The sequence below is a fragment of the Homo sapiens genome, chromosome 4, assembly GCF_000001405.40.
Source record: "Homo sapiens chromosome 4, GRCh38.p14 Primary Assembly".
Lineage (NCBI taxonomy): Eukaryota > Metazoa > Chordata > Mammalia > Primates > Hominidae > Homo > Homo sapiens.
This window is the reverse complement of record NC_000004.12, coordinates 38,155,444-38,180,956: the sequence shown is the minus strand read 5'-3', so window position 1 is coordinate 38,180,956 and position 25,513 is coordinate 38,155,444. Positions and strand designations below refer to the sequence as shown.

Sequence of the window (25,513 nt, the reverse complement as noted above, 5' to 3'; positions counted from 1 at the left end):
GTAAAATGGGTTTGCTTACTTCTCCAGGTGGTTTTGAGACATGAAGGAACCTGTGTCTGTAAAGTGCTTATTAAAGTGACTGACATAAAGTAAGCCTCAACAAACAGGAACTATTATCAACTCATTGTTATTGAAGGATAGTTAATTTGGGGCATCTTTGTGAGTTCAGGAGTTCAGAACAGTAAGGAGACAGACTGGACTCATGGAAAGGTTCCAATACACATCCTTGTAAATTGATACTTTCCACAACAATGCATAGTTTAAGTGGGATCAGTCACCTGGTGGTCAGATGTGTACAAGTCACAGAGGGTGAGACAGTTCTGCTCAGGAGCCCGGGAACCCAGCCTGATTTCCTGTTTCAAAAATCACACCTGTGAAACTCTATCCAGGTGGGAAACTCTTCTGGTCCAGTCTCCTCGAGCCATGGTTCATTATCAAGTTATTTCTCTGGGTCACCCTGAGGTCATCTCCTTAATTAATGCAACAGCCAAGGGAGGCCAGGCCCAGGAATTTAGCTGGACAGGCTTTGCCTAAAAGTCCATAATAACACCTCATCTTTGTTGAACACTTACTATGTGCCAGGCACCGTGCAAACAGCCTTATGTGCATTCGTTTATTTAATCCTCTAATGGCCGTCTGGAGGAGCAGCTACAATCATCCCCATTTAAAGATGCAGAATCTCAGGCTTGTCAAAGCCCAGTCATTCATCCAAGATCACAGCTAGGAAGTGGTGGAACCAACATTCCAGGTCTTTCTGACTCAAGTGCCTGAGCTGTTACCAGGATATACTTCACAGAAAATCATTAATCCCACATTTCTCTCCCATGTCACATGTGTTTATATTGCATCTGAGAACAAAAGGCGGTTTAAAATTCTCCCTTTTCTCACCTGCTGAAGAGCAGCACAGCCTGTGGCCGGCCACTAATCAGGCCCTACCTTGCTCCAAGTTTTCCAGAACACTCCTCAAATACTCTTTATATCCCATCATTGTTTACCCCAATTCCTGCTCAGGATTTTTTTCAGCCTTTCCAAAAAGAAGCACAATTTAACAATTAGTTTAAATCACTCTTAGCTAAGAATCCTCTTTTCAGGGGCACGTGGTTGGAGCAAGAGTGCCACCTGGTGGAAAATTTGGGTCACTGCCAACACACATTTCTTGGGCAAAGGTGGTTAGGCTGGACCTGAGCAGGGCTCCCACTGCCTGGAAAATTTCCTGGAGAGCTACAAGAACTAACTCAGCAATGCCCAGGTACCAGTTTTACTGCAATTCACAAGTGTTGTTCAAATACAAGTTTGGGACTTTGAGGGGATGCATTTCTTGGCTCCAAAGAAAGCCCAGAATGGGGATTAGGATTAAGTGAGGCAGAGTCTCGCAAGTACAGGAGTGCATCCTGTCTTTACTTAAAATTTTAATGCTTTATTTATTATGATTTTTTTTTGCATTTTGATTTTTTTTAACTGCATTAAAATATTATTTTTCTTGATTACTGAGTTTTGGGTACCCGCTCGCATTTCGTACCCACGACAAAGGTCTCACTTGCCTCCCCCTAGTACTAGCCCTGCCAAAGCCCTCTGAAAAAGGATTTCGCTTCCTTTCAAAGCTCTGGCAATAAGAAATTGACCCCTGGCTCCTGTCAATTTCCCACACATCTGTCTCCACTCTTCCCCATCTGAGAATGGTCTTGGTCCACTTCTGTCATCACCGCACCCCTTCCTGCTCTAGTTGATACACCAACCCCAGTCGAAAGAAAGTACACAAACCAGCATATACACTCGAGTATAACAAGTGAATAAATGGCAAAAAAAAAAAAAAAAATGTGCCAAACAAACCTCATCGCAGGTTACTGCTCCTTTGGCAGGCAACTAACAAACCAAGCTATAAAGCTGCTTCTGCTTTTCCCAGATCCAGGACCACCAAGCCACAGGAAATCAGGGCAAAGGGCACTTGTCAACACTCTGCCCTCACCCAAACTTGGCCATAGCCCACGAAAGGTCAGCCTAGTAACATTTCTTCCTCAACAATGTCCAAACTTAATGCCAACATCAGGCCAGGTCGCCATAAAGCTCTATATCTGGGCTGGGTTATTCCAGTCCCCTGGTTCACAGCCTAAGCCTGGTGGAAGGTCTTTACCTGTAATGCATGAGTGGGCATTGGGGGTTGCGAACATGGTTCTGGAAACCTCTGAAATTTTACGCAAATTATGTGCTTATTATTTTCCTCCCATTTTCGAAGGAGGCTTTGACTCTATAAAGGGTAAGAATCACAACAGTCTTAATAAAGTCTTCAGCCTTTATCAAAGGTCTATGCGAGAAATAGCAACAAGAAATACCTTCCTCTGCGTAGCCTGGTAAAAACAAGCATCAGTGGCCTGCTCTGTAGTATATAAACAGTGTTGGGCCATCCCAATGCAAAGACCCAAGCGTTTCTTAGTGTAAAGAAAAAGGGAGACTTTTTCTCTCTTGATAAACTGGAATCTCACCTGGATATAGAACAGGATAATCCAATATAGAACAGGATAATCCATGTTTCCTTCTCTGCCTTTTGCTGCCTCCTTAAACTCTTTTTCAGCCTTACCATGGCTCTCAGGTAAAGTTCTTTTCTGCAAGCTCTAGACTTTCCTCTGAAATATGCTTTCACCATCTGGGCATCCTTACTCTTCCTGCAAGACCTGGCCCTCGTGTCAGCCTTCTCAACACTACCAGGCAGGGCTGAACACAGTACACACACTTCTGTTATTAAGCAGATTGTTTTTCTGGAATGATCTGCATATGTATCTATCTTCCTCACAAGACTGTGAGCCCAGGAGCACAGGAAATCCAGTCTTATTGGTTTTGGTACCCTCAGTACCTAGCACAGAGTCAGTGTGTAAAAACAAAGTTTCAGTGAGAGGATAAATCAATCCATGAATGAATGAACAAATACCTACAAAATGTGTTTTCCTAAAACATTCTTTGACTTTTTCAACAATGTGTGAGCCTCAGTAATAACGATTGACGGACAGAGCAGACAGACTCCCCCACCACCCCCAATGCCTTCATTTCCCAGATAAGGAAAGTGAGGTTGCAACAGACACCAGCGGCACCGAGCCCAGCAGCTCCCCTCAAGAGCCACACCCAGGCCAGCTGCCAGCCATGCCGCAGCTGTGTTCTGAGAACATGTAGCACCCCCACGTCACTTGGCAGGTATTGCCACAGGCGTGCCACGTCGCCTTGCTTTTCCTTTTCCCTCCTTTTGCTGCTCCCTGGTTTAGGGTCCCCGTCACCTGTGCTCAGAGCACACAGTAGGGAGACAAGTGATTGGGGGGATTCACAGGAGAGAAAGTATGGTGGCTGGGAGATCCTCACTGTATCCCTAGCAAGGTCTGGAAACCTCAATCTTCATGATCCTTTGTCATTAACCATACTAAGGGTCCCCATTACTATGGGAACTTGGTTAATTCCCATTAACCAAGTAATGGGAAACCTGTTGACTCTTTCAACTTATTTCAACATCAGGATACAGAGAGCTGAAGTTCATGCCCAGAAATGCATCACCCATGAACCTAAACAGCTAGTTTTACTCTGCCTCCTCTCACTTGAATTAGTCTGATAAAAACCTCAGGGCGGCTGCTCCAAGCTCTGCTTGTCCCAAACCCATTTCAGAAACTGGAACGTGAGCTGGGCAGAGGGAAGGACTAACCCCCTGCTATTGTTCCGGCTTTGGAGAAAAGACCTACAAGGAAACTCTCAGCCCAATGCAGCTGTGGTGGTTGCTGAATCGTCAGACTTGCCACAAGCAAGATAAAAACTTTAAACAACAAAGGACTTTTCCGTGTTCTGCTGCACGCGGTTTCTTGTTCTGTTTTGGTTTCTCCTGGTGGTGTGGCCTGGCCTGCAGGGTTTCCTGACACTCTGCCCACCGCAGTCAGGAAGGTGCAGAAGCAACGGAACCCCTCACACTGCTTCTCAGTGGCTCTCCTTAACAGGCAAAGGAAACAATTTTTTTAATACAGGTAAATCCAGAAAGGACCTAAGGCTTTGATTCATTGGGGTTTGGTTTTGTTTTTATTTTTATTTTTATTTATTTATTTATTTATTTTATTTTATTTTGAGACAGAGTCTTGCTCTGTCGCCCAGGCTGGTGTGCAGTGGCGCGATCTCGGCTCACTGTGAGCTCCGCCTCCCGGGTTCACACCATTCTCCTGCCTCAGCCTCCCGAGTAGCTGGGACTGCAGGCACCGGCCACCATGCCCGGCTAATTTTTTGTACTTATTTTAGTAGAGACGGGGTTTCACCGTGTTAGCCAGGATGGTCTCGATCTCCTGACCTCGTGATCTGCCCGCCTCGGCCTCCCAAAGTGCTGGGATTACAGGGGTGAGCCACCACGCCCGGCCTATTTTTATTTATTTTAGAGACAGGGTCTTACTCTGTCATCCAGGCTAGGGTGCAGGAACACCGTTGTAGCTCACTGTAGCCTCCAACTCCTGACCTCAAGGGATCCTCCCGCCTTGGCCTTCCAAAGAGCTGAGATTACAGGAGCGAGCCACGGCACCCAGCCTGATTCGTTGTTTGTGAGCAGCAATTTGACCTTCTCTTGTCCACGCCTCAGAATTTAGGTCTCTCCTCTGAGGAACACAAAAACCCACATAGGAAGAGAGAGGAATATTTCAAATTTAGAGCTGAGAAAAGGGAAGTCCCTTTACTCTTCATCCTCAAATGTTTACCCAGTTCATGTGTCTCCCCTCTTCCAGATATCTAGTAGAAATGGGCCACTTGGCCCTGATCACGTGGTTTTCTGTTCTATGTATCTCTTTTCTGTCACCCCAGATTTTAGATATTTCTGTTTCCTTTTGTACCTATTAAGTACAAAATAGATACTGATTAATTGATAATAGCCACCGAAGTCTAAAGCCAAATTAGAGCCATTTTTATTATATAAAAATATAAAGCATTTATAGGCCGAGCGTGGTGGCTCATGCCTATAATCCCAGCACTTCAGGAGGCTAAGGCGGATCATTTGAGCCCAGCCTCGGCAACAAGGTGAAATCCTATGTCTACAAAAAAAGACAAAAAATTATCCAGGCATCATAGTGCACACTTGTAGTTCCAGCTACTCAGGAGGCTGAGGTGGGAGGATCAGCTGAGCCCCGGAGGTCAAGGCAGCAGTGAGCCATGGTTATGCCACTGCACTCTAGCCTGGGCAACAGAATAAGACCCTATCTCAAAAAACTAAAAAAATTATAAAACATTACTACAAGCCAGACCCTTTATTTTACATTTAATCCTCACCCCAATCCTATAAGGAAAGTGTTTTTATTCTGTTTTACACATGGAAAAACCTGAGGCTTGGAGGGGTTAGTGTTTTTTCTGGTAGAGCTACAGATACTAACCAGGCCAAAGTCTCATTCCTAAAATCCTACCATTGCCTCCTAAACCAGCCCAGCTCTTCTCACTCTTATCTACCTTGGATGGGCATCAGGCTAATCCTTCCTTCATCTCCTCCATTTAACCAGCTCTGGACTGGGAACATGGCACAGTGAGATATTTCTCAACATGAGAGTGACGGCTGGCACTCCCTACCATCTTGTCTGTAGCTGAATCCCTGATCAACTCTACTTCTCGCTGTAAAAAACAGACCAGACCTCAGAATCCTTCTCAACACAGCACTCCAGGCAGCCACTAGCAATCAATCAGCATTGCCTTTGATGACATAGCCAGTGACTAATAGAATTTAATTTCCATTTCTTTCCCATCCTTCCTGCCTGATTTCCCCAGTGTTTCTGGGGCAGATGGATGGATGGATGGATGGATGGATGGATGGATGGAAAGGAAAAGGAGTGCTCCTCATACAGGAGAATCCTTCTTGGCACCACTCCTAATTTTGCTGACTTCACTCAATGCCAGAGCTTCCTTACAAAACTTGCTCTTCACATGAGGCATCTGTGGCGTTTGTTATAGGAACTGGTGAGACTCACAGGTCATTCTGAGGCCATATGGACCCTCTACATCAGCACTTTGCTTCTCCCTCAGTCTCATTTCCTCCCATCCAACATATGCCTGAGCTTAAAAACATCCATTCACCCCGTACTTCCTTCTTCTTTTTAAAGCTCAAGCTGACAAGAGAAATTTCTTTCTCCCACTCACTTTTTTTTTTTTCCTATAAAGGGTAAAAAAGATTTACAGCTCTGCTGTGGGGTACGCAGGGAGGAAGAGTGATTAAAAACTCTTTGGTGTCTTTGGGGCCATAAGTCCCTTAACCTGAGCCATTAGGTACTTAGAGCTTCGGAATCAGCCCGTAATTTAGCTTTGGTCAGGAAAGCATGTTTTCCAAGCCCCCTTAAGTCCCAACGTCAGTTGAAAAACTATCTAGTTTTGATGCTATCTGGATATTCTTTCCCTCAGCAAAACACTGCTTGGTGGTTGAGAGGAAGGAAATGTTAAAAATTTATATTCAGGAGAGTTTAAAGAGGAATAAAATAGCTCTTATGAAGCGACATTTTGGTGACTTGAGTACGAGGAAATCAAAAGCATATGGATTGTATGCTGTTAAAACATACTTTTGTTTCCTCCAAATGGAAAAAAATACTAGGGAAAAATATATTTTACAAAATGGCATACATTGGAAGATAGCTGGAGATTTTTTTAAAAATCCAAAATGTGACAAGGATGGCCTAGCCCTAGTTATTAATATCTTGGAACCAGCTGGAGAGTAAAATTAGGTTGTAAAATGGTTGTACCATTTGTTACTCCAAGCTGGAAATGACACATTTCTCATGTATTTCTAAAGGAGAAAAAATTCCATATTGAGGTACATGAGATGAGGTTTTGTTTCATTGTCTCTGTTTTGACATTAGTCATAATAATTCCTTTCACTGAACTCACACCTGGGCAAGGTCAAAGTGTACAGATGAGACCAGGTCCTGGAGTCAGACTCTTACTGGTTTTGCTTCTAATAGTGATGGGATCTTGGGCAAGCTCATTCACCTCTCCGTACCATAGTTTCCTCATCTGGAAAGTAAGAATAATCATCATCATCGTAGCTGCTCTATGGAAACATCCAGGTGAAGCCCCTGTAATAAATGCCTGGCACACAGGAAGTTCTCCGTAAATGTTTGCTGGGATGATCTGTCATCCTGCCAGGAATGCCCTGCCACTTGGTATCTCCATGCTCAGCCACTGTCTTCAAAAACGGACCAACATTTAGCTACACTGACCAAAAAAAGAGAAGACACAAATAACTAAGCTCAGAAAATGAAAGTGAGGACATTACTACCGACCTTACAGAAAGAAAAAGAATTACAAAAGACTGTTATTAAAAACAATTGTACACCAACATATTAGATAGCCTAGATGTAATAGCAGTTTCTAGAACCACACAAATTACCTCAATTAACTCAAGAAGGAATCAAAAATCACAATAGACCTGTAACAAATATAAATATTGAAATAGTAATCAAAAGCCTCCCAATGAAGAAAAGTCCAGGACCAGATGGCTTTACTGGTGAAATCTACTAAACATTTAAAGAATCCTTGTCAAACTCTTCCAAAAAATAGCAGAGGTGAAAACACTTCCTAAATCACTCTATGAGGCCAACATTACCTTGTTAACAAAATCAGTCACTTCTTTTAGGACTCTGACCATTAAATATAACATCACCTTTCCTCTTATTCTCTCACCCTGATTTATTTTGCCTCCCAGCACTTAGCACCACCTGATATATTATATACTTATTTGCTTATTTATGTATTCCCTGTCTTCTCCCACTAGAATAAAAGCATCATCGGAGCAGGGAATTTGTTGGGGGTTTTTTTTTGCACTGTTAAATTATCAGTGCCTAGGAAAGTGCCTATCACATAATAGGTGCTCAATAAAAATTTATCGAATGAATGAGCAAATAGTCTAATCATTCTTTCACTAAGAGGTGGTAGAGTGAAAACAGAAGAGGACCTAGGTATTGAAGAGCTCCAAGAAATAGCTGGCTAGAAGACCAATGCAACTTCAAAGGCAGATAACCAAGAAAGTGTTGTATTGGAAGACAAATGAAAAGCAGGGAATGATCAACAGTGCCAATTAGTGCTGAGAAATGAAGTACAGGGAGAATGGAAGTGTCCACTGGATTGAGCTACATGAAGATCATTGGCCACCTTAGTGGGAGTTATCTGGGAAGAAGCCAGGTTGTGCTGCTAATGGGCTGAATGAGCACAGGCAATACATTCAGACAACATTTTAAAGGAGTCTCTCTATAAAAAAGAAGGTGCAGAGGCCGGACACGGTGGCTCACGCCTGTAATCCCAGCACTTTGGGAGGCCGAAGCTGGTGGATCACAAGGTCAGGAGATCGAGACCATCCTGACTAACATGGTGAAATCCTGTCTCTACTAAAAATACAAAAAAAAAAAATTAGCTGGGAATGGTGGCGTGCACCTGTAGTCCCAACAAGTTGGGAGGCTGAGGCAGGAGAATGGCATGAACCCGGGAGGCAGAGCTTGCAGTGAGCTGAGATCGTGCCACTGCACTCCAGCCTGCGCAACAGATAGGGAAATTGCTGGCAAGGATGAGAGACAAGTGAGGATATTGCTTTTAAGTGGGAACAACTTGTGTAAGCCTAAAAGCCTATGGAAAAAAATGCAGCCGAGAAGAAAAGACGTTGAATATGCAAGAGAAGGCAAGGTTCCCAGAGTGGGTGGAGGGTACCCAAACCACAAGACTGGCTTCAGCAAGGGGGAGCAACCTCTCCTACACCGTCAGAGGACATACGAGGAACACAAGACTTATGACACTGATCTGACTTGCCCACCAGCCTCAACTGGGTCCCAGTCTCCCAAAACCCAGTCAGGCACCCTTTTTCACTATGCAGTCTTTTCTCTGGATCAGCTGAGAATGTCAAGGGACAGTGAGGAGGCAATAGGGATAGAAACCAGAGACCATGAGTGGAAAATACCCACAACAGACTTTGCCATTTAAGCCAAAGGTACTTCACAACCACTCACCACTCTGGGTGTTCCCTTCTCTGTGGTGTGAGAGCCCATTGGCATAATAAGCTCCCTGCAGTCCTCACTCCCCCCACCCAGGAGAGGGGACAGACTTAGATGATTGCTGATGGGCATGCATAGCCTAGCCCCTTGCCATCCCTTTGTCTGCAGATATCTTCCACTTTCTCTAGTGTCAGCTTTATCAGTAGAAAAGGTGAAATTTTGGTCTCCATCTGCCTTTCTCCCTTGCCTTTTTTTTTCTTTTTTTTTTTTTTTTTTTTTTTTTAAGGAGGCTGGAGTGCAGTGGTGCAGTCTTGGCTCACTGCAACCTCCGCCTCCCTTGTTCAAGTGATTCTCCTGCCTCTGCCTCCTGAGTAGCTGGGATTACAGGGGCTCACCACCACGCCCGGCTAATTTTTGTATTTTAGTAGAGATGGGTTTCACCATGTTGGTCAGGCTGGTCTCGAACTCCTGACCTTGTGATCCACCCACCTCAGCCTCCCAAAGTGCTGGGATTACAGGCATGAGCCACCGAGACTGGCCTTTTTTTTTTTTTAAGTAGGTTCAGAAAGAGATGAGGAAGAAGGGAGACAATTGCTCCAATGGGAATTATACTATCAAAGGTGGCATATGAAACTTGATTCTCAAATTGTTCTTTTTGAAGTACAAAGACAAAAAAAACATAAAGCACAGTATGAATATTTCGGATGTAATTTGTAATGAAAGTACATTCTTCCTAGAGAACAATCACAGTGTAGAATGAGCCCCTGGTTCCCTTTATAGATGCGTAAAATGCAAAGGATCTGCTTTCAAAATTCACTTGAACCAAAGTGCAAAATTCGAGTTGATAGTTTCTTCAGCTCTTTCCAGGATTCCACTGTTTTCTATCTGGAAATAGCCATTGCCACATCCACAGTTTCAAACTCGAGAAAATGACCCAGAATCCTCACAATATGTGAAGAGACAGCACAGCAACAACCACTCTGCAAAGGGAGTGAGAAACCTGCCAGCATACATTCTTTGTTGATGAGAAAAATGCATCAGCAATTGTAAAAGCAGGTGTTGGCACCATATTTAGCCATGGATCCAGCCTTCAACTCGCTTCCCTCCAACTTTTTCAGTGTCAGATTTTTTATCCTAATAATCATTTTAGGATCAGAACCAGTGACTATCACCTTCTCCAATTACTTCAATCTCCATATTTCAAATTGAATCATATTGGCCTTGACAGTGCAACTTCTCTCTCCTGCTCCCAAGTTACTATTTGGAAATTTACCAAATAATCTTTAAGCCTGTTGGTGAGGACAAAGACTATCTGTGAAATCTCTCTAACAATTTAGCTTACATGCTTTCTTATGAAACTAAGGGATAGGACTATTCCAAGTATTTGCAGGACATCAGAATCTCTGGAGGGTTAGAAGTCCAGGGTTGGAAAGCGGGCAGGGCCTGAGAGTGCTGGTGAAGAAGAGGCTGAAGTTAGCATTGCCAAACTCAGAGCAGATGCATATGATCCACATGCTACACCAGCCCTGCAGTGAATGGCCTCCAACCAATCCGCATTCTTGCAGCAGTTGTTCAAAGTTTCCAGAAAGAGCATCTGGCCCCTTTGGTTTCTAAGAGGCAAGCGCTCTCCTCTCCCACCCCTAGAAAACAACCCACAGCGTAAAACTCCCTAAAGGGAAGATGAGGGGCTTTAGAATAGTGGATTGCATGCTGGGGGGCAAAGCTGGGCAAATGCCCACTATAACTGGGCTCGGTGGGGAAGTGATTAGCATCAATTTGATGGCTTATGTCATCCATGACTGTTTATTGCATGGTGATCCTGAAAGCGCCCGTTCATTCAAAGTTCATTCAACACATATTGATGGAGCCCTTCTGGGGTAAGTGGTAGGGATATATCAATGAATAAAACAGACACAGTCCCTGCCTTCATGGAGCTCACAGCCTTGTTCAATAATCTTCTTTGACTTAAGGGCCACTGATATCACCCTCTTTGTTATAAGCCCATAGTTGATGTAAAACAATTCACCTCAGCCCTGATCTGTAGAAAGCCTGGATGGGAAGGACACCATTGGCACAGATTTGGAAGATTAGAGACTATCTCTGAGCTCAGCTCATCTGAAAATTTAAAACCGAACTCAATAGAAATGAAGGAAATGGAGAATGTGATTGTGTGACAGAAGATTGCATCATAAGCCAGAGATCCTGAGGGATAAGGGAACAACAGCAACACCTATTGGAAACTTTGTATACCAGGTAACGTCGGTGCATATTAGTTCAAATAAATAAACATTTCTATTTCAGCAGATTCGTTTGTAAGAGATAATAATTTTACAGTCAAAGAATGAGTCACATACAAAGTGCATGTGCGTATGTGTCTGGGTGTGTGTGTGTGTGTGTGTCTGGGTGTGTTAACTAGCAAGCTTACAAAGCAGCTAACTTTTATGTTCTTGTTTTTCATGATGACCTCTGGGCATCCATGGTGGTCAATGTCCCAGAAAATCACAAGCTTTGGGGACTTCCAGGTCTGACTCTCAATCATTTATCTGTGTGGCCTTGGAAGAAATTTTTTAACTTATCTGAGGCTTGTTTCCTCATACAAGACAACATCTACCTTGTCTCATGCATTTACCATGTGCCAAGTTCTATGCTGAAAATTTTAGATATATCATATATACCTAAACTTGTCACAAAATTCAATGAGGTTTTACTTCCACTAATTATACAAATAAAGAATCCGATACAGGATGGTTAAGTTACTTGCCTAAGGTCACAAAGCTGATAAGTGCAGAAGAAGAATTTTAACCCTGGTGCATCTGACCCCAAAGCCCATGCTCTCCAATACCTCATTCTATTACCTTCTTGCAGAGTGTTTCTAGTAAGATACGTTCAGCTGCAGCTGCAAAAAAACTCAAAATTCTCCCTCACAGTCATCAGGGCCTGAAGCTCCTTCTTGTTGCTTTACCATCTTCAACAAGTGGCTTCCATCTCATGGTCTGAGACGGCTACTCATGTCCAACTATTATGTCCACATTCCAGCCGGTGAACAAAAGGGCATGTTTTGTGGATTTGGGTATATGCAAGGGTCCTTGACCCAATCTGCTGTGTATACTGAGGGACAACTGTACTTGCACATTTCTAAAGATATGTGTTTTAGTCCCCTCTATTTCTAGCATTGTCATATCAGAATAGATGGTTCCTTTATCTATGCATTACGTGACCATTATCATATAGAAAATCTCCATATCAAATCTTAATTTTTATAATAAAATAAAGGATGTGTGCGTTTAAAAGGCAGAGGGAGGGCAGCATGTTCCCTCCTGCTGAGGATATGTCCCGAAAATTGCACACGAAACTCTTACATCCCAGTGACCACATGGTCACACATAGCTGCAAGGGCGGCTGGTGTGATACATGGTTCGATTGCAGGAAATCATGTGCTGAGCTGAAAAACGTGGGATTATATTATCAAAGGAAGAAGAAAAGGATGGATACTAGAGGACAATCTCTGGCACACCAGGCTATTCTAACTATGTGGAATAATGTATACAAAGCACTTAACTCACGGCGGGGCATATAGCTCGTTGGAAAATAAGTTTGTTATTTATTCTTATTGGTGATATCTGGCATCTGAAACACATGCAGAAAATCATAAATTCAAATCAAGCAAGGAAAGGTCATAGAAAAATGGGAGAAGAATCATTTTTTATATCACCATGATATTATGAATTGGCTCCTCCTTTTTCATGCACACAAAAGCACTGCCTTTGCTCACATGCAGCATCCCCCGGGCTTCAAGGAGGGGGATAATGAATAGAGGCTTCAGTAGCCACCCCTTGCAGAGTCAGTCCACGCCACATAAACTACGGGACAATGATATCACAGGTGGCCATTGGTAAATAATTTCTACTGCAGCAGTTAATGGAAATGCAGTTTTCATTACAGTAAGGAAATTGAAATCTCAGCTGGCCTCTGTGGGTTCCATCCAACCTATCCTTCGTTGCTCATAAGATTGTGTGTTGTTTTCATTCCCCTCGTGATTAACCTCTGTCAGGAAGGGTAGGGGGAACTGGGTGATTGAAATCCCCAGGAAATCTCCACGTCGTGCTGCCAGTTTAACAATCTTCCGCAACCATCCTGACACCAGGGCTCTGAACAAGTAGGAAGGAGACTGTTTTTAATTTGAGGTAGAGATATTATCTAGTGGGGAAGGTTCTGGATGGCCAGCCTGAATTGAAGGGGTGATAGACATGCGGCCAATATGGAAGGGGAAAGAGAAAAATGAGAGAAGGTGGTGGCATCGAGGGACCCATGTCATTAAAATTTTCTCAAATGTATTGGACAACTTTCTTTGGGTGAGAGATTTGGGCCATCAATACTGTTAATGCCTCTTGCTACGGTTTAAGTGCCTGTGTTCCCCCCAGATTCATGTGTTGGAATCCTAACCCCCAAGGTGATGGTCTTAGGAGGTGGGGCTTTTGGGTGGTGATTAGATCATGACAGTAGAGTCCTCATGAATGGGGTTAGTGTTCTTATGAAAGAGATCCCAGAGAGGTCCTCACCCTTTCTATCACGTGAGGACACAGAAAGAAGAGGCCATCTATGAACCAAGAAGCCAGACCTCAAATCTGCCAGCCTTGATCTTGGACTCCCCAGCCTCCAGAAGTGTAAGAAATAAATTTCTGTTGTCCGTGAGCTACCCAGTCTATGAGATTTTGTTATGACAACCTCAATGTAAGACACCTCCCTACATAAAATATGTTTTCAACTCAATACACTTGGCTCTCTGAATTGCAATAATTTGTGGCTGTGCAAATTTTGTCTCTTGTTAGAGAAAAGTTCATTGAACAGGAACCGTGAAGACTTGTTCCTTCAGATTCTCCTTTTCTTTTATTTCTGGGTCATGTCTCAGCTCCTAATCTCTCAGAGGCCCCTCACTTCCTTTCCTGTCACTGCCAGCTTCTTCCTTGCAGATTTTATTTTTGCACCACCCACTCAACGGAGGAGGCAAGGAGCTAATAGATTTGAGAACATCTGCTGAGCCACATAAATCAAGGCGTTCAATCTTATAATTTTGTTGAGAAAGCAGAAGAGCAATAAACATCTTTATTTGGCAGAGGCCCACCCTGCTTACAGCTTAAGGTTTTATCTCTTCCCTGTTTTTTTCTGTCACTGCTCATCTTATGACTGAATGGTTTCTGGCTGCCATTTTGTTAGCCCAGAACTGAAACTGTATCTACCATGTGCAAGTAATTTATAGAAGGAAGACTATGGTAAAATCAGGAAGGAGGGAAAGTTTGAGTTTAGCAGACAGCCAGGATTAAAGGCTTCCCAAAGACCCCTGTACTCTGGCGTGTTTCAGGCGCAATCAGTTCAACAGGGAGTGGCGTTGAGGAGATCCATCTAAGCCATCCTGGAGAGCTAAGTATCTTTTCTGTCTGATTGCCCAAGGCATTCACAGAAAAAGAATTGCCATATCCTTCATTTATTCATTCATGCATCCCCAAATTCTTCTTGTTCAATCGCTCTTTTGGAGGCTACCTCTTTTTGCCATGAATGACAGAAGTTCATGGGCACGGGAACTAAATTCATCTAAGTCTCTCAAAAGACAAGCTACCAACTTGCAAGTCAACTAGGATTCGAGGTCAACAACCACTTCCCTCGTGAGTCAGTTGGGTTCAAGTTCCTCTTTAAGCCTAGAAGTTGCTCTGCTCCTACGCTTACCCTTTCACCTTGCTTCATTTCCATCTGCATTTCAGGGAGACATTTAAGCCTGCGGATGGCAGCACCAACTAGGAGACCAGAGAGCCTGACTTTCCTCACCTTCTCCTTTTGCCTGTCAAAATCGGCAAGACCACATAATGCTCCTCTCAGGCTCTAAAGAGGGAGCTGATTCCTGCCCATGGGCTTCCTGGGGAAAGGCAGGCCAGCAGTGCCAAAGGACAGATACCAGGCTGAGGAAGGAAAGAATTATATCACAGACTTTAGGGCTATGAGGAATCCTAGAGGTCATCATCCATCCCTGCACTGACAGATGGGAGTACCATGGTCAAGGACACATGCACACCTGTGGCAGAGCCAGATCTGGAAACTAGACTACTGGCTCCCAGTCCAGGGCTCTCTCCAGTGTGCCCAGTGTGCCCAAAGAGATGCTGGACTGATTGGTACCGAAGGACATTCATCAAATGCCAGAGTCCTTAATATCCCATGAAGACACCAAATAGACATAAATGTGGAACAATTGACAGAGAGAGGCAGGAACCTCTTTTTATTTATAGCCATTGGGTGCCCCTATTGGCCTATTCATGATGGAGGGGAGTTGAAGGGATCTGCAAGAGAGGAAGGGAGCAGAAGAAGCAAGACAAGAAGAACAGAGCATGGTGACCGGGAAAGTCAGTTATGGGACCAGCCTTCCCGTGTCCACATCCCAGCCCTCACACTTACTTAGGTGGGTTGCTTACACTTTCTGTGCCTCAGTTTGTTCATTGTAAAGTGGAGATAATACAACTATCTACTCAAAAGGTAAGGATTGAGTAAATTATTTCATGGAAAGCATTTAGCACAGTACCAGACTCACAGCCATTGTTCATATTACCAGGGAAGAGAAGCATTGGGAACAGCCAGGAGAAAACCACACAGCATCTCTCAGGCCTGACGGTAAATAACTCACTCGCCCTATTTCTAGCAGTGTTGCTAGAAGGCAGTAGAATGCACTGCAAAAGGCCTGAGTAGAAAAACTGTATTCATTATCATTTGTCAATTTATAAAAATAGATAAATAAAAATAAGTAGACTAATATGAAATAAATACAACTTTTAATTTGGGAAAAAGAAACTGTAGACTGGGGGCGGTGGCTCACACCTGTAATCCCAGCACTTTGGGAGGCCAAGGAGGGCCGATCACTTGAGGCCAGGAGTTTGAGACCAGCCTGGCCAACACGGCAAAACCTTGTCTCTACCAAAAATAGAAAAATTACCCAGGGCATGGTGGCACATCCCTATCATCCCAGCCACTCTGGAGGCTGAGGCAGAAGAATTGCTTGAACCCATAAGGTGGAGGTTGCAGTGAGCCAAGATCATACCACTGCACTCCAGCCTGGGTGACAGAGTGAGACCTTGTCTCAAAAAACAAACAAACAAACAAAAACTATTGGCACAAGGCTAAGCTGCTGTAACAAAGAGCCCAAAATACCATGACTTAGAGAACAATAAAGATTATTTCTCTGTCACATCACAATCCTGATGTGAACTATGCAGGTCAGGGAGGAAACTCTGTCCTTTACCTTCAGGAAGACTGGTTCTTTCCAATGTATTGCTTTACCATCCCCCTCAGAATCTTGTCCAACTAAGTCATCACCACATCCAAATTGTATCCAGCATGGAGAGGAAGCATACCCATGGTCTTAAGACTGAGGCCAAGAAGTGGCATCATCATTTCCGGTCACATTTAACTTGCAAGAATTTCATCACATGGGCACACCTAGCTGCAAGGGAGGCTGGGAACGGAGTTTGGCTGGGTAGTCACAAACTCAAAAAGAAGGAGAGAACAGATCTGTGTTCAAATCCAGTTCTTTCAGTTGCTTATTGTGTTTGAGGTCAAATTATATAGGCTCTCTCCTCCTCTTTTGCTCGTTTATTTAACCAGTTCTCTCTTTTTGGGCACTCTTTCTTTCCACAAGTATTTCTTGAGCACCTACTATGTGCCAGGTACTGTTTCAGGTCATCAGGATGTAGCTGTGAAAAAGACAGACCAAGCCTTTGCCCCTCTATGGCAGAATCACCACAAGGCTAATGAATGACAGACCTTTTCTTCCCTTTCTAAATCAGTGTTCATTCTCATGTCTAATTTTATATTCTTTTTTAAAAATTGTTTTTCTTAAAACAGGCCTCAGATTTATATGTGCTTCGGGTCACACAAAACTTGGATCTTCCCCTACTGCTCTCATGGGGCTGACATCCTAGTTGTGAGAAAGAAAGCAAACACATTAACAAATAAATATATACTTCATCACATGGTGATCGTCTTATGACATAACAAATAAAGGCATGGTAAGAAGACAGGGGCCACTTTATTTGTCCAGGTCAAGACCCTCTCTAAGGAGGTGTCGTGTGAGCAGAGATGGAACAAAGGGAGTTGTTTCTACCTTTTACTACTCTAAAGATCATGGTGACTCACTGTCTTATACACAAACCTTTGTGTAAGCTTCTGATTATTTCTTAGAATCTATTTCTGGTAGTGGAGTTAATGAGTCAGGCAGACAAATGTTTTTAAGTTTCTCAAAACCATGGACTGAAACCTCTCTTTTTAATGAGATTTCTCATTAGAGTTGTGAAAGAAGCAATTGACAAAGCCCTAGATTCCAAGGCATTTTAGATCCATATTTAAGTTTGTTCAATATTGAAGGATGCTTAGGACCTTTAAGGATTACTTAAATCCTTGAACCCCACATCCTAACTAGCCTTTCCCCTCCTATCCCCAAGCCTACACGCATTTCTTTATCCTAGAATTATTTCTTAAATCATGGACTTTTACTGTGAAAAGGAACCTTGGGGCTGGGCACCATGGCTCACACCTGTAATCACAGCACCTTGGGAGGCCGAGACAGGTGAATCACAAGGTCAGGAGTTTGAGACCAGCCTGGCCAACATGCTGAAATCCTATCTCTACTAAAAATACAAATATTAGCTGGGTGTGGTGGTGCACCTGTAGTCCAACTACTTGGAAGGCTGAGGCAGGAGACTCGCTTGAACCTGAGAGGCACAGGTTGCAGTGAGCCAAGATTGCACCACTGCACTCCAGTTCAGGCGATAGTGCGAGACTCTGTCTCAAAAGAAAAAAAAAAAGAAAAGAAAAGGAACCTTGTAAGGATGAATCCATTCCACTTCCCTATTTTATTGCTGTGGAAACTGAGGCCCAGAGATATGGCTGACTTGCCGTAAGCTTTACAGTGAGTTCATGGTCAAGCCAAGATAAAGCCTCAATCTCCTGATTCCTGTTTCTGCAGCCAAAATCAATGACAAATGAAATGTGCACACAGTGTTTCATGATGGCAAAACCAGGGACAGAAATTTTACAGGAAATACCCATGGATACAGCCTGCCAAATGTACCTACTTGGTTGTGAGCATTATTAATTAGGTAATAAATGCAAAGGACATAGGACAGCGCCAAAATATTTTAACCGATGGATACTATTGTGGCAGAGCAAGCAGCATGTCCCAAGACCAGATGAGGGCCCCGTGGGAAAAGAAGCAGGTGTGGGGTAGTGTGGGGTGGTCTTGGGGCTTAAAGGCATGGACTGAAGACCTCAGCAGAGGGACTGGACGTGGCACCTCCAGAATCCCAGGAGCTGGGGAAAGAATCACATGAGACCACCTGAAGGGACAGAGGTGCTTCAGCCTGGGTCAATGGAACCACAGGCGAGAGCAGCCCAGCTGGAGGCCTTTGTGGAGCTCATGGCAGGGTCAGCTTTAATCATCAGCCAGGCTGCTCCAGGGAGGCCAGCTGTCCGGCCCAAAAGCCTTAGGCTGCCCAGCCACATGAGAGCTGTTTCATCCTCATACCTCTCCCCTTTCTGGGCTTCATTCCAGGAATGGAGGGAAATAGCAGCAAACAAAGGGAAGGAGGTGAGCAGAGGGAGGGGAAAGGAAGAGGGCCATGACCCCTTCCCAGGGCAGACTTCCTGGGTGAGACAGGTCCCAGCCAGGGAAGGAAAGAAGATTTAAAGCTAAATTGTTTCTGAAGTTTTAACTATTATCTGCAACTTGGAATGCTAAAATCTGAATGGAGGCCATTTTGTGCAATTCAAAGGATATTTTATTGTCTGAATGTGACCTTGAGATCTCTGGTCTACCCAAGTCATCAGCAGGGGTAGAGGAATGCTGCCCCTACCCAATAGAATTAATTTAAAGAGGCAATGAGAGGCCCCACAAAACTTAGATCTGCCCCTACTGCTGTCATGGGATTTATAGGTGATGATAGAAGATAGATAGATGATTGATAGATAGATAGATAGATAGATAGATGATAGATAGATAATAGATAGATTGATAGATAGATAGATAATAGACAGATGATAGGTAGATAGATGATAGATAGTAGATAGATGATAGATAATAGGTAGATGATAGATAGATGATAGACAGAAGATAGATAGATAATAGCTAATAGATGATAGATAATAGATTGATAGATGATAGGTAGGTAGATAAATCGAGAGATGATAGATAGGTAGACAGATGATAGATAGAGTTGCATTTTGTTCACAGTGTCCTTTCCACCTTTTTGTAATGTGCCAGTTACACGTGATCTTAATCGTCATTCTGGCTGTTACACATGTGCAGTGTTGTTTCCTAAATAAACACTCTCCACTAACAGGACCCACATTGATTCCACTCTCGTGCACTCACTCATGAGTCATAATTAATTTTTAGACACTCTTTGAAGAATCACCTTCCTGATTGTATGTATGAAAGTTTTATTTTCTATAGTAATACACATTATACAGGCCAATATGAATTCAACATAAGCTCAAAATGGCAATTATTGTCTTCTAATGTCTGCAAACTATAGAGTCCCATACAGTGTTTTCACTGTATGACCCAGACCTCCCCCATCATGCTCAGCCAAAAGCCTATTCTGTACAGATTACATTTAGTCAGTTTTTTATTCATTCATCATTCATTGGATTGGGTATCGTCTGTATGCAAATCCTTCTGTGGGGTGCTGGAGATACAAATTTGATAGCTGGATGGACACACAGTCCCTGCCCTCAATGCACCCATGATCTAGTACCATATGAATTGATGGATATTAAATTGTTATGATAACCAGCGATGAGGATGATGTCAGCATTGTTTACAAGTTGCCATGGGAGCACAGGAGGAAGTAGTTAGCTTTCTTTTGCAATGACTCAGATCAGGTTTCACAGAAGAGAAGATCAATGGGGCTGGAATGATCAGTAAGACTTTCCCAGGCAGCTGAAGGGGGTCATGTTAGGCAAAGGGAAGAGCTTGTACAAAAGCATGAGTCAGGAAAGCCTAGGTTATGCTTTGGTAATAATATGACCCTGAAGCCTTCGTAGCTGAAGATAGCTGAAGTTTATTTCTCACTCAGGTCACCTGCCTAATCAGGTCAGCTGGACAGGAGGAGTAAGGAGCAGGGCCCTGCTCCACACAGTCACTTGGGGACCCAAGCTAGAGGGTCCAGCTGTACCACCTGGAACATGTGGTTTGTAAGCTGGCATTGCAGGAAAACAAAAAAAGCTGGAATTTAGCACACTGGCTCTTCAATGCTTCAGCTCAGAGGTGACACATAAAATTTTCATCCACAGCCCATTGGCCAGAACTAATCACATGCCTCCCGGAGTTGCAAAATGTACAGGAACACATGGCTATTCCATGAGTAATAAATGTCTCTGCTACAAGCACAAGGCATGAAACTGTTTCCTGGGTTTAGGGAACTGTGAATGGTTCACAATGACTGGAGAAGAGATTGCAAGAGGAAATGTCTAAAGAGGAGCTCGGAAAAGTAGGGATGAGATGATGAAATCTCATGTGCTCTGCATAGGAATTTGGACCACCTTATGTGCAGAGCAGAGCTTGAGAAGAGTTCTAAACATGGTATCATGGTAATACTTGTGTTTTAAAAATGTCTCAGCCAGGCACGGTGGCTCACGCCTGTAATCCCAGCACTTTGGGAGGCCGAGGTGGGCGGATCACCTGAGGTCAGGAGTTGGAGACCAGCCTGGCTAACATGGTGAAACCCTGTCTCTACTAAAAACACAAAAATTAGCTAGGCATGGTGGCGGGCACCTATAGTCCCAGCTACTTGGGAGGCTGAGACGAGAGAGTCACTTGAACCTGGGAGGTGGAGGTTGCAGTGAGCCGAGATCGCGTCATTGCACTCCAGCCTGGGCGACAGAGCGAGACTCCATCTCAAAAAAAAAAAAAAAAAAAAAAAAAAAGTCTCATGCAGCAATGCAGAGAATGAGTTAGAGGGGGTTGAAACAAGAGATAGAAAAACTAGTTTGATTCTTATAGTTGCATAGGTTAAAAATGATGAAGAAACTAAAACAGGGATTTGGGGGATGAATATGAGAACTCTTAAAGAGATACTTGTTAGAACATCATGACTATGTAGATATAAAAGAAGGAGAAGAATAGAATGACTTCCAGGTTTCTGCTTTAGGGCCTAGTGCCCCCAATCAGGATAAGGAGTACAGGAAAATGAGTGAGTCCGGGGAAAAGACATGGAGGCCAATTTGAGATCTGGTGAGTTTGAGTTACCCACTGCCTATTGCTATGTGTTGAACTGTGTCCTCCCAAAAGATGTATTCAAGTCACAATCCTCAATGTCTCAAGATGTGACCTTATTTGGAAGTAGGGGAGTTGCAGATATAGTTTGTTAAAATGAGGTCCTCTTGGAGTAGTGTGGGCCTTAATATGACTGGTGTCCTTATAAGAAGACAGTCATGTGATCATGGAGGCAGAGATTGGAGTGATGCACCTACAGGCCAAGAAATATCAAAGATTGGCAGCAAACTCCAGAAGCTAGAAGATGTCAGAAGGATTCTCCCTAACAGGCTTCAGAGGGGGCATGGCCCTGCGGACTTTCCAATTTCAGACTTCTAACCTCCTGAACTGTGAGATGGTGAATTGTTGTTTAAAGCCACCCAGTTTCTGGTACTTTATATTGGCAGCCCTAAGAAACTGATGCAGGTATCCAGGTGGATCTGTCCAGTTGAAAGATTTGGATGAAGGCAGACCAGTCTTCTTCCAAAAGCCCAAGAAGGGAATACTAAGGAACAACAGAGCATGCTGGGGCCTGCGCTGGAAGAAGGTTATTCTGTCCAGGGGTGGAGAGGAGGAAAGGGGATTGCACAGGGAAACCTCACGATGAGGATGACATTTGAAAAGGGCTTTGGGGAATAAAGAGCAATCTTTTTCTCTCCTAGCTGATGATAAACTCCTGGGAGCCAAGTTCACATATCTATTCAAGTAAAAGTATTTGACAAATATCTATTAATAACGCATTTTTGTGTTGGGCTCTGTGCTAGGTATTAAGGATATAATGGTGACCAAAATGGGCACAGTCCTTATTCTCATGTCACTTATAATCTAGTGAAAAGACAGACATTAATCAAGTAGTCACCCAGAAAAATATATAAGCAGTCATTCTGATCAATGAAATGGAAAGAAACTACCAAGTGTTAAAAGAACATATTGCAAGGAAATTGTTCTAGCCTGGAGTTTGTGAAACGCTTTTACAGGAAGCGATGCTTGAGCTGAGATCTGAAGTTAAAGGAGTCAATTTCAAAGAAGGAAAGGCAGGAGAAGCAGTCCAGACAAAGGCTCTGACAGAGGAAGGAATGGGTTTGTGCAGATTTGGGAATCTGAAAGACAGCCAGTGTCATTGCAGGACTGAAAGTAGGTGGAGTTCAGCAGTGGTGGGGAGGGACAAGGTCAGGTGTGTGTGTGTGTGTGTGTGTGTGTTTCGATCACCTGGATGAGTATGGTTGGAGAAGGGCTGGAAGCAAATAAAACCATTGAAAAAGATTGCACTGGTCCAGCCCAAAGAGAATGGTGGCCTGAACCAATATGGTAGCAGTGGAGATCATGAGTTCAAGAAGTATTTCTTTGGCATCTAATGAAGAAAAACATAAGTTAAGAATGAAATCACCTCTCTGTAGATACAGCTTTTCCATACTTCTCCCTGCCTTGGGGTTTTAAAAGACCATCTGTCTGAAAAAGTGACGTTGATGCTTCAGTAAAAAACACCTTGACATCTGGTAATAAAGACTCAGTCTACAATGAAGTGGAAATTGAATGGTGTTCTGGGGTTATAGTGAGACTCTCTCAAGTTGGGGAGAGGGAGGCACATAAAAGAGAGAACAAGAGGTTAGACCCTTGAAGACTTTCACAGGCCATGGAGGACCCAAGGCAAGGTCCTGTCTGAAGAAAGGGATTCCTACAGCACCTGCCAGCAGTAAGCTTCTCTCATCAGATACCCTCTAAGGAGCATGACACACAGGAACTGTGTTCATAAGGAATGTAATGTACAATTGAGCTCTCCCAAGGCATTCTGCAAGGCAGTATTAACACCTGGAAAGCACTTAAGCTTCTAGAGTCAGGTTTTACTCCTCTGCTGCACTTAAACTCTGGATATGAGATAGGAATGAAGTCCGGAGGCTGTGGCTGTTGCATTACATAAGAGGGTGTGCCTCTTCCCAGGGGTGTGGCTTGCAGTTGACCTTCTCCTGAGTATTACATGCCCAGCTCCTGAAGGTGGGTGCTATAGTTTGGATGCTTGTCTCCTCCAAATCTCATGTTGAAACTTGATCCCCAATGTTGGAGGTGGGCCAAATGGGAGGTGTTTGGGTCATGGGGATGGGTCTCTTGTGGATAGGTTGATGCTCTCCCTGGGGGAGGGTGGTGAGTGAATTCTCATTCTTTTAGTTTCCTTGAGGGCTGATTGTTAAAAAGAGCCTGCACCTCCCTCCCCTTGCTTCCTCTCTTGCTATGTGGCTTTTGCACACGCTGGCTCCGCTCTGCCTTCTGCCATGAAGGGAAGCAACCAAAGGACCTCATCAGAGGTAGGAGTTGGCGCCATGTTTCTTATAGAGCTTGCTAAGCCATGCACCACATAACTTCTTTTCTTTAGAAATTACACAGCCTCAGGTGTTCCTTTGTAGCAACACCAAATGGCCCAAGACAGCTGACAAAGCCATAGTTCATCATGGGTGCTGGCAGGCTTGGCACGTGGTTGCCGACTTGGGATTTGTGAAGTTCAGATTGTTTCCTCAATTGGGTACCAAGTTAGATCTAAAATGCTGCACTAGGTGGGCCTCATGTTCATTTTCCTTTGCCATCATGCCAAGCAAGGATGGACTTTGGAGAAATAAAGGGTAGCCAGCCGTCTTTGTATACCTGAAGTGTCCTACAACTGATAGAATCTGAAGAACACTGTGGAATTCCTTTGAATCTCATCTTCTTATTGTTGTTCGATAAATGATGGAATGGACTCTATGAACATAATTTAAATTAATGTTTTCATCTTCATAACCAAACAATAAGTTATTATAAAATAAATGAGTCAATATTTGTTTAATAAGAGCATCCAATTTATATTTATACCCAAATTCCCATGACTCTGAGCTCCCCAAACAGCAGAACCGGAGTCTCCCTTTAAAATCTTCCTGTTTTTCCCAGCAGTCTCAAAGGGAGTTTAGTGTCTAAACCACTAGAACCCGCGACTGTTCTCCATTTTGTTCATTTGCAGTGAGTAGCCCATTAAACAAACTTTCAAAGAAACCCATTGTCACTGCAGGTAATGGTGCCAACATCAACCCCCTCCCTGATTCATCTTGTCATTTGGTCCTGAAGCAGGATCGTCTGTGCCCAGACGCTCACAAAGTCTGTCATAAAACCAGTTTCTTTAGCCTGTGGCCCTTACCTCTCTCCCCCGTGAAAACTCAAACTGGGTTCCCAGGCAGGTTAAGGACAAAGGCCGTGACATCGCTTTACTTTCCCTGTCATCCCTGTTTCTCAATAGGGCCAGTGCACCCCCAGTTCCATCTCTCCCTCCGTCACACAAGCTCCAGGCCACATCAGTGACACCCAAAGAACCATAGGGGCAAAAGCGCCGTCACTCCTTTACAACCCTCACTAACAGCATCAGAGCCTCCGCCCCATGTATATGCAAGTACAAATTAATATATCCATAGAAAAAGAGCCCAAAGATCACACATCATAGTGTTTTAATAATGGCCATGACCGCTGGAGGGTGAGTGTATGGATGTTTCTTATTTTTGCTTGCTGAAATATCTACTTGCATGGATTTTTAAACTGTTGCAGTCATTTACTTTGTGATGCTTTAATAATTATGCAATAACATACACTTTACATTGTATGATGCAATGCTTTCACTTTAAAAAAATATCATCTTACATATTAATATTTGGCTAATAACTAGAGGCCCTTCAATTTATGTTGGTCTTCCTATAAATTGCATTCAACCATTCAGGAATTGTTCTTTGAGCGTCATCTGGCTGTGTATGTCAAGAGAATACAGAAGCCGATGAGAGCTAATGTCTGTAAGTCTTACGGTATGCCACGCTCAGGTACCACAAAACCCACCCTGAGCTCTGGGCAGGGACTGGAATCACCACACTGACGAGGAAATAGTGACTTAGAGCACATAGAAACTACAACTGATGCCAGATGAGTCCTGGAGAGGCCCAAGTTCTGCAGGAGCCAAGAGCCCTAGCACCCTCCCGGTGGGGATATCTGTTAAGGGCTTCCTCAGTCACCAGTCAGCTGGACTCCCCTCTCTCAGGGACACATCTTTCCTCTTAACCCAAACTCCTGCATCTTGGAAGTAACAGGGAAGAGCTGGGCCCTTCTGTGGCCCCTCACCCACCCCCACCCCCACCCCCTAGGCTCTTACCGAAAGTCAGCAAAGCTCAGCCAGGCCACGTTCAAAGCAGCTGTGGGCGCGCCACGCCCGCCCCACCCAACCTCCTGTAAGAGCTTAAGTCAACAGGCACAGAAAATCAGACAGGCC

General features: G+C 43.8%; 1 long non-coding RNA gene across 1 annotated transcript, besides 5 other annotated features; it reads right to left on the bottom strand.

Moving 5' to 3' along the window:
• Positions 864-923: an enhancer, noted in NCBI's record as "active region_21429". NCBI's record gives its function as "activates an Ori minimal core promoter by ATAC-STARR-seq in GM12878 lymphoblastoid cells {active_cell/tissue: GM12878}" and the evidence as "EXISTENCE:reporter gene assay evidence [ECO:0000049][PMID:35858748]".
• Positions 1,224-1,393: an enhancer, noted in NCBI's record as "active region_21428". NCBI's record gives its function as "activates an Ori minimal core promoter by ATAC-STARR-seq in GM12878 lymphoblastoid cells {active_cell/tissue: GM12878}" and the evidence as "EXISTENCE:reporter gene assay evidence [ECO:0000049][PMID:35858748]".
• Positions 3,124-3,393: an enhancer, noted in NCBI's record as "active region_21427". NCBI's record gives its function as "activates an Ori minimal core promoter by ATAC-STARR-seq in GM12878 lymphoblastoid cells {active_cell/tissue: GM12878}" and the evidence as "EXISTENCE:reporter gene assay evidence [ECO:0000049][PMID:35858748]".
• Positions 19,411-25,513, bottom strand: LOC124900693 (uncharacterized). The gene is made up of 2 exons (XR_007058099.1): positions 25,397-25,513; positions 19,411-23,973 (listed from the first exon to the last, which is right to left on the bottom strand). It is a non-coding gene; the product is annotated as an uncharacterized LOC124900693 (long non-coding RNA).
• Positions 19,609-20,110: an enhancer, noted in NCBI's record as "NANOG hESC enhancer chr4:38162468-38162969 (GRCh37/hg19 assembly coordinates)". NCBI's record gives its function as "activates a minimal SCP1, AML or CMV promoter by ChIP-STARR-seq in naive H9 embryonic stem cells {active_cell/tissue: H9 hESC(naive)}" and the evidence as "EXISTENCE:reporter gene assay evidence [ECO:0000049][PMID:30033119]".
• Positions 23,075-23,369: a silencer, noted in NCBI's record as "tiled region #4886; HepG2 Repressive non-DNase unmatched - State 23:Low, and K562 Repressive DNase matched - State 8:EnhW". NCBI's record gives its function as "represses a minimal TATA promoter and a strong SV40 promoter by Sharpr-MPRA in HepG2 and K562 cells {active_cell/tissue: HepG2 | K562}" and the evidence as "EXISTENCE:reporter gene assay evidence [ECO:0000049][PMID:27701403]".